The sequence below is a fragment of the Homo sapiens genome, chromosome X, assembly GCF_000001405.40.
Source record: "Homo sapiens chromosome X, GRCh38.p14 Primary Assembly".
NCBI classification, from domain to species: domain Eukaryota; kingdom Metazoa; phylum Chordata; class Mammalia; order Primates; family Hominidae; genus Homo; species Homo sapiens.
This window is the reverse complement of record NC_000023.11, coordinates 43828310-43840963: the sequence shown is the minus strand read 5'-3', so window position 1 is coordinate 43840963 and position 12654 is coordinate 43828310. Positions and strand designations below refer to the sequence as shown.

Genomic DNA, 12654 nt, shown 5'->3' with positions numbered 1-12654 from the left:
AGGGGAGTGAACGGTTCTGTCCCACTGGTGTTCCAGGCACCACTTGGATATGAAAAAAAAAAAAAAAAAACTCCTGCAGCTAGCTCGGTGTCTGCCCAAATGGCCGCCCAGTTTTGTGCTTGAAACCCAGGGCCCTGGTGGCATAGGACCGAGGGAATCTCCTGGTCTGCGGGTTGTGAAGACCATGAGAAAAGCAAAGTATCTGGGCCAGAATGCACTGTTCCTCATGGCACAGTCCCTCACAGCTTCCCTTGGCTAGGGAAGGGAGTTCCCTAACCCCTTGCACTTCCCAGGTAAGGCGACACCCCACCCTGCTTAGGCTCATCCTCTATGGGCTGCACTCACAGTCTAACCAGTCCCAGTGAGATGAACTGGGTACCTCAGTTGGAAACGCAGAAATCACCTGCCTTCTGTGTTGATCTCACTGGGAACTGCAGACTGGAGCTGTTCCTATTCGACCATCTTGCCAGCCCTCTGTACTCATTCTTTACTTTGAGTCATCTCCTTTATAATTGAATTTGTCCTCAGCAAATATCTACTGAGTACCTACTATGAATCAGGCACAGTAATCCCCCCAAAATGGCCTTGCTCCACAGACTTTACAGTCTCTCAGGGGGACAATGACTGTTGTAATTGCCTAATTATAGCTTATCAAGGAAAATGCTACAGTGAGGGTGGGTGACAGCTTGGAGTGGTGCCATAGGAGGCATAAGAGGGTACCTTACCAGTCTTGAGAGCCAGAGACTCAGAGAAGCCTGAAAGCCTTATCTGTTATTGACTGTGACATACACCGCCTGACCTAGTTATTTGTGATTTCACACAAGCCTTCAAACTTGATCTAACCCTTGTTGTCTACTGGCCATTGTTTTTGCCATTATGTGTTCCTCAAATATCTCTTTTTACCTTTGTCGTATGGCAAAATCTTCACATACTTCCAGGATCTCATCCCTTCCTACTCCAATCAAAAGCTACTTGCCTTTCTTCTGTGTTAATACCACTTACCTGTTCCACACAAGGACAATTATTATATGTTGCTTTACAAGGTTTTGCCTGTGTACATCTTATCTCTCCCAGTTCTTGAAATCTTCATATTCCTTGAAAAATACAGCATATAAGAGTGCCTTTTACGTAAAGAAGCTGGTTTAGTACAATTAGGTGCTGAATTTTTAAAAACATCCTTCTTTCATTTATTTGAGAAAATTTATTGGACAACTGCTATAGGAGTTTGGAATACTTTAGTGAGTAAAACAAAGATGCCTTGTGAAAATTGCATTTTTGAAGGGTAAGTGAGTGGAAAGCTAGACAAAAAATACGCAAATAAACAAAAACAGAAGAGAAGGACCATTTCTAGTGTTTCTAACTGGTAGGAACCTGGTTTTTCTTAGACATACTCAGAAATAGGAAACTTTTCTACTAATTTTTTGTTCAAAGTTCGCCCCTCAGTCATTGGAAATGAAACCAATTCAAAACTACGTAAATATACTATTAAACATAAAAGCAATTTCAAAGTCCAAATTATGACCAAATATTCCCTAGTGCTATTTTCAAATGTCTGGATTAACAAATCACATAAGAAGTGATCGTTTTCTTTCTTGCTTTTTCTCTAGCATTAGGCTCCTCAACATTCACCTGAAGTACTGAGTAAAGAGATTCGTCAATAATTCACAGCTCACAAATTCAAAGCACTAAAAACCAAGCCATGTTATGGTATATTGTAAATGATGAGGTTTAGAAGCTCTTGCCTATTCAGAGTTCAATCAATTTTGCTTTAAAGATTGATTTAATAACTAAGTCATGTGAATGAAGTAGAGTTGATAACAAAATCTAGTTTTTCGTGGATATACCCTTAAGCTGTATCTATAACTTGTGAAATGTCGATTTGCTTATTTCAGGACTGTCTTTTGTTATTTTATACATTTTTTACAAATTTTTTTTAATTTTTTCCTATGGGAAAACAGAACCAAAAGGTTAAATATGTGGACCTTGGAGGATCCTATGTTGGACCAACCCAGAATCGTATCTTGAGATTAGCCAAGGAGCTAGGATTGGAGACCTACAAAGTGAATGAGGTTGAGCGTCTGATCCACCATGTAAAGGTAAGATCAGGCCAGACTTTGAAGGATTTGAAAACTTCTCTATGATGTTTCCTTACACAAATTCCAGATCATTCTCTCAGAGAATCTTCTATATCTCTGGATGATGCAAATGTATTTTATAATGGTATTTCAGCCACTCTGAGATTCATTCACTGTTATCAAAGGTGAATTAGGTGGGAATTCTACCTATTTAGGAAGGTTATTGATGAAGTGGTATCTTCCATGTGGTAAAATGTTTAACAAAACCCATAAAGAAAAAACATTTGTGCTTTATTTATTAAATATCTATTTAAATACCGGGAAGTCTTTTATGTTATATAAAAACCTGTGCAAAGTTTTTAAAATGCTGCCCTAGACTGCACATTGTAAAGAGTATTTGCAATATGCCTAATGGAATATTCTTACATTTTATCATTGTGGCCTATATATCAGCTAAAGTTATTCTTCTTTGGAGATTGACATCAAAGTGGTTCAAGTCCCAGATCCCGTCTTTTGCAAGGAAGCTTCATTGTTCTCCCCAAGATTTCTGTGAATTTACTGAGTTTCTCATTCCTGTGATCATTTGTGGCTCATAGTTCTGGCTTCCATGATACCTATGTTCATTCACATCTCACGGCCTGTGACTCTTTTCTTCTCTTTGCTTATGCCAACCTGGGTTCACACTCACCTCTTTGTCCTGATTTTTCTCAGACCGCCACAAGCATATGTGAAAAGCAAACGTCACTGAAGTTTGCTTGGGTTTGGTGGGCGGGGGAAGGCTCTTAAATTTGCAGAAATACAAACAGATTAGAACTGAATGTTGGACATTCATTCTAATAACCTCTTAGATCAAAGCATCCCCTGAGGATTTCTCACTGGTCACATTTCTCTGCAGATTCCAGTCTCCCACCATGCTGCTGGTCCTCAGACTCTCTTCACATCTCCCTGCTCCTCTGTTTTTCCAGCATCCTCATCTTGGTCCACAAAGTCACTCATGTTCTCTGACAATCAGACAGTCACCTAATCTGGGCCCCATCCAGGAGTCCCATGGAAGAACTGGCGGAGGTTTTCAATTTCAGTCTTTCCTCTCTCATCTTCACTTGCTCCTGTGGGTGGAAGTAAGCAGCACAGGAACTTATTCCTCACTGGTAGAAAACATCCCCTTAGAAGACAGAAGAAACTAGCAACGGTCAATTTTGATTTATATAACAATTTTGACATCCTCATATTATTTGTGAGTGATAATATCGAAACAAATAACTGACCATAAATCATGAAACATTTAATAAAATGGGAACTAAGCAGTTACTTAATTTGGTATAATGTGGGTAAAAGTTTTCCTTAATTTATAAATAAATGTTTTGGTTGACCTTCAAATTTTATTTTATATTGGCCGGGCACAGTGGCTCACGCCTGTAATCCCTGCACTTTGGGAGGCTGAGGCGGGCGGATCACCTGAGGTCAGGAGTTCCAGACCAGCCTGGCCATCATGGCGAAACCCCGTCTCTACTAAAAATACCAAATTTTATTTTATAAGCCTTTCCACCTTCCTTCCCTATGTGTCTAGGAGAAAAAGAGACACATGAATTAGAAATGAAAATCTACCATGGTGATAATGTGATTTGTTGAACATCAATCAACAGTTCTTAACACCCTTTGTTGGGTTCTTTGTTTTTTTAAATGTAGATTTTCTTGACCGATTTCTTATGTCTTATTCTACCTGTAAGGCTTGCAGAGATTGACTTTTCAGAACACTAGGATCTTTAAATTTCTCCAGACAAAGGAAATGACCAGAGATTATATTCACTTGCCTGTCTTTGTGTGTGCAGAGATTATTGTCAGCTCAGAGCTATGTCCAGGATGCTTTGTTTTTTCCTGACATTAAGTCCCTTGTCTGAGAGAAATTGCTGAGTCATCAATTACAGGAATGATGTTACACTTAAATGATATTTCACAGTGATGGCCAAATGTGCTGCTTTTTCACTATTTCCATTACTCTATGTGCAGTTAGGAAAATACAAGTAGTTAAGCAGTAGTCCTTACTTAATACAGGGTAAATACATATGCCAATAATGCTCTTTATATTTAAAATAAGTCTTACTGCTTTTTAATTATGACAAAAGTAAAGCATGTTTATTGTAAAAATATGATTAGAAAATATAGATAAACTAGAACAATTAACAAACCCTTTATAATACTATCTTGAGAAGATCACTCTAAAATACTCTCTTGGTTCGTAGATTTTCGTATTCCTGTATTGCTATTTTCTGACCTCTGCTGGAGGAAATGGGAAATAACAGTGCATTTTAAGAAATTGTATGCACATGCATATGTGTATATGTTTTACGTAGTAACTTACTCTCAAATTAATTATCACTAATGAGACAAATTGAAAAAATACTGATGCTGTAAAAAAAAGGTTTCTGCAGTCTTGACAAAGGTGCCAATTTGGCCTCCTCGTGATCAGTCACATGCAGTGAAGAGCTACATGATAATACATAATGACGAAGACCTTATAGCTAAGAAGTCCTTCTCAAACTAAGTACTTGTTCTCTACCATCTCCACTTCCATGTCTTTGTATACGTCATTTTTCTCATTTTTGACCTGTAAAAAGCATCTTGGATGGCTACATTCATTTCCGGAATTATTAACAAGAACTTCGACATTCTTTCTCCTACCACATACTAGAGAATGTAGTTGAGAAATTTGCCTCCTGTGTCATGGAAAGCAGTACTTTGGGAATTTGAACACTGCCCTCTATTACCTATTTTAATAACTACTGTCCCCAAGGGCAAACTACAGTTCATGTAAATAGATAGTATATTTGGGCCTTGTTTCTTTTTTATCAGGGAACATGCATGTATTTCTTAATCTGAATCTTGAGAGTATCAAGTATGCTACTTGCCATATTGTCAGATCCTGCTATCAAAGAATCTGCTTTTAAAATTTTTTATGTGGCTGATAATGGGAAATAGAGTTTTATGTGCAACCTTAGTAACATTAAGCTAAGGAACTTGGATATACTGGTTGATATTGAAATGAATGAAGTGGAGCTACCCAGAAAAGGGGAAGGGCACAGTAGCTCATGGTGGACTAACTACCCACATGAAAGAGTGTGTTTCCTCAAGAGAGGATGACTCCCAATATCACCAGTTCTGTGGTAGTTGTCATAGAAATGTTCTTCTGATAGAGGAAGTGTGTTCATGCCAGCTCCATAATAGGCATCTTTAAACACCTAGTGTGCTGTGATGAACAGGCCTCTGTCTTGATCTGATCTGTCAGACATGTTTGTATCTACTGAGTGGCGTTCATTTTTAATGCTCTGTAGATCTGTTATATGTTGTTAAAGTAGGGTTTTCCAAAGACAACTTCATAAATAAAAGATGTGATACCAAACTATATTGGGATTTAATTATCAGTGAGAAAGGGATCGCTTCAGCTCAAATCTATATAATTTAGAAGGTGTTTTCCTTACTTCTGGAGTCAGTGATGCAGCTGTTAGTACTTTACAATTATTGTTAAACATCTACTGAGATTTTTGATCCGTTTTACAAATAGGCATGCTAATTTCCACTGGTATAGTTTAGAAGGCAGCTGTTTAGATGTCTTGGAAGTAACTTGAAAAAATTGTTTTCTTTTAAGGAATATTTCATAATTAAAAAGAAAAAGATAAAAACAAAAACTTCTTAAGGAATCCTGCTATATTTTGACTTATGTTTCTTTCTCTTTCATTGTGTGTTTACATGTGCATGCGTGTATGGTTGTCTTTGTTCTTTTGGGCTCTTTGAAGAAGTTGGAGAAAATTCTAAGGTTTGGTACAATGTAGGCAAATAAAATTTTTCTGTTTCAGAAGCTTTCATCAGTCTGAAATTTGAAAGTAAAGTCTGGTAAAACACCCATGAAACTGCTCTAGGTCTGAAGGTTGAACTGTTAAGAGTTTTGCCACTATAAAGATGTAGTGTGACTTAAAATTAAGAGTCCAACTTCATACTGATGTTCATTTCCAAACTTCAGCTATCTGGAGAAGCTGAGCAAAAGGACTTTTTGGTCTTAACCTACTTCCCAGTGGGCAGAAACAAAGCTTATTGTCAAAGTCCTTTTTGCATTGCATATGGTCAACCTTCAATGCTAAAGATGCATGCGAATGAGGATTCATCTCTCAAATATATTGTCTGCTTGTTGCTGCCATAGCTGCTATTGCTCAAACAGCCTCACAGAGGAGGAGGCATTTGGCACAACCCCTCAGTCTTGCTGACAACTCTGAAATCCAGTTGAAAATATGATACACAAAATGCACACAAAGGCAGAGAGGGGAAACCATAGCTATCTATCTGCGATGCCATTTCAGTTAATCTCTCTGTCTAAATGGCCTCTCAGTACTAAGAAACAGCAACAGGATTAGAGTAGAAATATTGAGACATAAAAAATGCAAATGATAATTGCATTTAGCAAATGGAAATCGTCCTGTTGTGTAAGGTCTTGGCATCTCCTGGAAATCAACAGGCCAGAAGTATCCAGTCTTCTCTAGGTCCTCAATATTCCCTTCTTCACACCCCTGTCCCCGATCCTATTAATCCAGGGGAGGCTGGATCAAAGTCCAGAATACACTTGCTTCTCTCATAAAGACAGAAGTCTCCAGGAACAGGTTAGACCAACTCTTGTTTTTATTCAGGAACAGTTGCCCATTTTACATGAACTTCACACTTACCATGTTGAGTTTACTGGCTCTGTGAGTTTGCCCTTTCTGAAGTGGGCTTAATGAACCTTTTCTACCACTTCCACCCACACTGCATTTCATTTCTTATTTGTTTGAAACAAATATGTCTTATTATGGAAGATTTTTTCAAGGAAAAATGTGGAGAATAGTAATTTTCTCTCTAGTAAGTGAAACACATTTGTCTAGTGATCATTCTAAAGCTTATGCTGTTATTCTGGAAACCAAAGTGCTCATTTGTGTTCTTTAGAGAATACAGGCAGATCTTTGGCATGTAATAATTTGCTGAAAATTATGCCTTTGATGGCTGAATTTGGAACAACATTTAGGATATGAGATGAATTCATTTTCCGCCTCCAAGGTTTCCATTTGGAACTTAAAATATGGTACAATCAGTAAACATATTTTCTATGCATACACACACATATCTGGATAAACTTAACAGTGACTATGGTTGTGGGTAACAGTTAGTTTTAAATTTTGCTGGGAGTGGAGGGTAGACAATGTATGGAATTAAGTTATGATAGTGAAATTCACTAAGGGAAACAGCGATATAGATTAAATCTTGTGCAAAATTTTACAGCTTCTATACTATGTGATCATGTGTTATGGCCAAGTAGTCCAAAGGAGCTGCAAAGACAGGGGGCCCAGCTCACCAAAAGATGGTGACTAATAAGGGAACCATGTAACAGATTAAAGAGAGCTTTGGCAACTTGCAGTACCAAGAGATTGACAGAAAGTGCAAGATGGCCTGAAATGTGTTAGCCTGCCTTACCATGTCCTCTGCAGAGCAGCAGCCTGCAGAAAGGCTTAGGCGTGGATTCCCAGGCTGCGTATCACATGTCCTGGGCATTTCTCTTGGCCTCTGCAACCACCAAGAAGTAATAACAATGGTAACATTACTCTTATATGGACATCTAGAAACTACCAAGTGTTTTCAATCTCAAATAACTATAAGTTATTTAGTTGTGAATTAGAAGTATTATCCCCATTTAACAGGTGAGGACCTAAAGGTTAAAGAGATTAATTGCAAATGACAAGATGCAATGGGGTCAGAGCATGAGTTGAGGCTTTTGGGTGTCAAGAACACACTGCAAAGAGCTCACTCTCTGCTGGTTGGGGACTACTTTTTGTCATTTCTTTCTAAGCCTCAGCACCCACCTGGCCCGCCTTTCTTCTTGCCAAACTTATACTCTCACATATTGGAAAAATCGAGTTCAAGATCCTCCTTTCCTTAAGATTTTCCACAGTTGAGTACAGTTATTCCACTAGCTCCCTCCAAAGCCCTGTATCCTCCTCACCTTCCTGATTATTCTTTATAAAAGTCTGTTTTTAAGTAGGATAAACAGTTTTCTGTTACTTGTACATCGAGACTTCATAAACAGTTGACTCTTGGACAATGTGGAGGTCAGGAGTGCTGACCCCCTGTGCAGTCAGAAATTCTTATATAACTTGACTCCCCGAAAACTACTAATAGCTTGCTGTTAATTATGTTGGTAAACACATATTTTGTGTTAAATGTATTATATGCTGTATTCTTACAATAAAGTAAGCTAGAGAAAAGAAAATGTTATTAAGAAAATCATAAGGAAGAGACAATGTTTTTACTATTCGTTAAGAGGAGGTGGATCATCATAAAGGTCTTCATCCTCATCATCTTCACATTGAGTAGGCAGAAGTAGAGGAGGAAGAGGAAAAGTCGGTCTTCCTGTCTTAGGGGTGGCAGAGGCAGAAAAAAATCCATTTGGAAGTGAACCTATGCAGTTCAAACCTGTGTTGTTCAGGGGTCAACGTTTTGTGTATGTGTGCAAAAAAGCAAATGTATTACAAGTAAATGCTAACAACCACTGACATTCTAACAGTTTCTCTTAGAGCTTTAAGGTTGGTAAGTACTTGGTTGGCCTTCCAGATTATCCAGATGATTGTACTTGATGAACAAGTAAAGCTGGCGACAGTTTTACGAATGCTTTATCATTTTTTCTACCTGTCAGTCTTGTGGCACCTGTTTGCTGGCTACATGCAGCCTGTCCACTAAGACAAAGGCACACACAATTGGAAATTTTGTCATAGCAGCATTCTAGTTCAGAATATCACCAAGTGATAAATCAAGAATTCAGGAATGGATCAGCTTTAGTGAAACTGGTGTTGAACATAAAATATATCTAAATAAAGATTTAAACAATTGGAAGAATTACAATCATAGTAATTTATGTACATGTTATTAAAAATGTTTATATGGTAAAAATTATATAATCAACAAAATCAGAATGTAGAGAAGGTGAGAAAGGAAGACACATAAGAGAGGTAACAGCTGCTTAAATCTTTCATAGCAATGAATCAATCTATACCAAAATTAATAGTTAATAAATAGTTAATAAATTAATTAGTTCCCTCAGGAACTAATATCTCTTAGGGTGTGTGAAACATCTATTTGAAGTTTAGCACTTCCTTCAGTTCATTTCAGTTTATGTTTCTTCCATCAAATTGAAGTATATTTCCATCATTTAAAATAACAGATATAATATGATTCAATTCTCATATTTTTTATTTTCTCTTTGTTCTTTTCTCCCTCCTTCCTTTCTTCCTTCCTTGTTTTTTGTTTCCTTCCTCCCTCTCTCAGTCATCCATTTGTTCATTTATCCATCCATAGCAACCATCCATCCATTCGTCTATTCATTTTTCTATCTTGTAGATGCTTATATAAGAGGTCTGGAATGTCATACACCAAATGTTACGGCTTTTTTTTTGTTTAACTTGATGGTACAACATGGAGTAATTCGTTGCTTTCTTCTTTGTACTTTTTAGTACTGCCAAAACATTTTATAAAGAGCTCCTCTCATTTTTATTTTTAAAAATGTAATTAGACACAGACTTTACTTTGGAAAGCTCATGATCTATGAGAAGAGGTTAGGCCCAGTGTTTCTAGCAGATCTCTGTGCCTCTCACCTGCCTAGGCAGCAGTCTCCTGGGTTACATATCCATTAACAATCACCAAACTGCTTCCAGCCAGGCTTAGTGACTGAGCTTAGATCCTTTGAGTTCAGACAGTCTAGATCCCAAAGCAGCTGTTCTAATGCAGAACCTCAAAGGCCCTTATCCTGGTATTATTGTGCTGCAGAATTTTCTGAGTGTCTGACACATACACACACACACACACACACACACACACACACACACACTTAATCATTGACCTTTTGTGTGTCCTTGGCCACGTTATTTATGCTTTTGTGTTTTGATATCTCTGTTGAAAAGAAGGATGTTTGTACCTGTCCCACTTAGTATTCTGAGGTTTAAAGAAACAAGATGTTAACAAGACACTGATTAACATCATTGTCACGAGGCTGCTGTGATACACTGAAGATCCTAAGAACATTTTGATAGGAAGGATAGAGTTTCTTTACTTTCCTTTTGGAAACAAACTTTTCTAATAGGTTCTGGGGATTCTTAGTAGCAAGTAAGAATGTAAATGATGAGACACCAGGTAAGATGAAGCTTTACAAATTCTTTTCAAAAGAGGACCAGGCCAATAAACTTACCTGAAAATATTTTCATGGGCTTCTTATACACTGAACTGTGAACTTTCCCCCTTAAAATCCAGTATTATTTTTCTTCTGTGTTATTGGTAGGCTAGGAGAGAAGCATTTGGCTGCAACTAAACTCACATGCCCAAACAGGCTAAATCGATCATAAATAGATAAATAAAGTGATCTTTTCTGGCTGTATTACCTTCTAAGTTTCCTTCAGTTCCAGTCAGACTTTTAATACCCTAGAATAGGGGACAATGGCTATTACTGGGCTTAGCTGAGATCCTTTCCTCTGGGTCCCTAACTGGCCATGCTGGCACTCTTGTAGAGTCAGGAATGTCTCCTCCTGTCAGGAGACAGGAGGCATCTCAGGATTTACTAGTCTCTAAGAAAACCTAAGTTTAGAGAAGTAAAATACATTACTTTAAAAATCTCTTTTGATATATGCGTGAAATCTAAAAGTATTAAAATAGCTTACAACAGCACTGTCCAATCAAAATTTAATATGTACATTGATAATTTTACATTTTTCTAGTAGCCATATTAAAAAGTGAAAAAGATGAAACTAATTTTTATAATACATTTTATTTAACCCAGTATATCCAAAATATTATTTAAACTTGTAATCAATATAAAACATTATTAATGAGAGATTTTACGTTCTTCTTTTGTACTAAGCTTTTAAAATCTGATGTGTGGTTTCCACTCACAGCATATCTCAATTCGGACCAGGCACACAGTGCTCAATAGCCTGGTGAGTGGCTACTGTATTGGATAGCACAGGGATAAAAGGTTAGTAGATTCTGTGTATTTTTGCAAACATTGCTAATCCATCTTAAATTTGTTAAAAAATAAAACCCGTACAAAACATATGTCTAAATCTCACAACAGAGACCCTACAGTACATCGCAAATTAACTTCCTTTATTCTGTTAACTTCAAACATCTGTCATCACAAAGAATCCAGAAGTAAACAATGAGTGAAGTTCCTTATGTGCCTGCTACTTCCTAAGGGCAGGGAAACTTTGAATCACTTTGAGAAAACTATCCTAGGTACACAGGGAGATGCTATGTCCTGTGATTTTAATGCATTAGAAAGTGAGCAAGCTGGAAGTAATTGAGGTTGACGTGGTCAGAGAGACTACCCTAAGAGAATGCTTTGAACACTTACAAAAACCTTAAAAGACACTGCGCAATAAATTCAAGGGAATAAATTTATGGAGAGCATAAAGACTTTTCATATAGTGTCATTATTTTAATACATTTGCTCATTTGTCCCTGTCTATGACTAATTCAGGAGAAACAATAGAACTGTCCCAAAGTGCCATAAATGGTGATTATCTTAACATACAGTCAGAGAAAAGTCCAACAAGTAAAGAGTTGTAGAGAAGATAAGCCTGTAGTTCAATGGAAGTTTATTTACTCTTTTCATCTTTTAGCACACATGCTTCATGCAAAATTCTGAGCAAAAGAACTGCAGAGCGACCTGGAGCATTTTACTGCTGACATTTACTATTTCCCCTTTTTTAAAGTTGGCAAATGTTAAGGGCAGTTGCTACAGACAGCTTCTACTCATGTGCAAACCATGAGAAAAATCACAATTCATAGTTACCTATAATTTAGGCTCTCAAGGGAAACCAAATTCATATGTACATGGTGGCTCCTGGAAATTCTGTTCCAAACTCAATTTAATAATAACAATAAGCAACATCTTTTGAGATTTTGATAGATACAAAGCACCATTCTAAGCAGTTTATATGCATTATCTCACTTAATACTCAGAAAAGCCTGATGATTTTTATTATTTCTCCTTCACAAAGGAGAGCATTGAAGTAAGTACAAGGCATTTACACAACTTGCTCAAGATGCCCCAGTTGGTAAGTGATGGAGTGGGGGCTTTAACCCTGATCCATCTCACTCCACCATCCAGGTATTTGGCAGCTCAGCTTAGGTGCAGGCCAACATAGAGATTATACTTAAGAGCAGATGAAGTCTCAAAAAAGACAAGGAAAAGGATAAGGGTGCTGAGGACTGAATTGCGGGGCAGGCCCTCAACCCTTCTCCCCTTTCCGTTCAGGTTCTTGCTTCCTAATGCTGATTTTTTTTTTTGTCTTATGCCTCATCACTGATTTTTCTTTTTATCTCCATTTGACCACCTGTGACCTACTTGACCTTCCAGTGGAGGACACTGACATGAATCATCTATTTGGTTAAATCAAGGACTATTGAGAGACATTGAAATCTCTCATTTCATTCTTAATCCAGGAATTTAAAAAAAAGTATTAAAGCTGCTCATTTGAGTGAGAATGCTGGAACTCTGTGTCACACAAGATAAACGTAA

The 12654-nt window shown here is 37.4% G+C and overlaps 1 protein-coding gene across 2 annotated transcripts in view; it reads left to right on the top strand.

Moving 5' to 3' along the window:
- Positions 1-12654, top strand: part of MAOB (monoamine oxidase B) — a 115841-nt gene that overhangs the window by 41487 nt on the left and 61700 nt on the right. For both annotated transcript variants that reach the window (NM_000898.5, XM_017029524.3), the window contains exon 3: positions 1959-2096. In NM_000898.5, the coding sequence (NP_000889.3) occupies positions 1959-2096 (138 nt within the window). The remainder of the gene's footprint in view (positions 1-1958; positions 2097-12654) is intronic.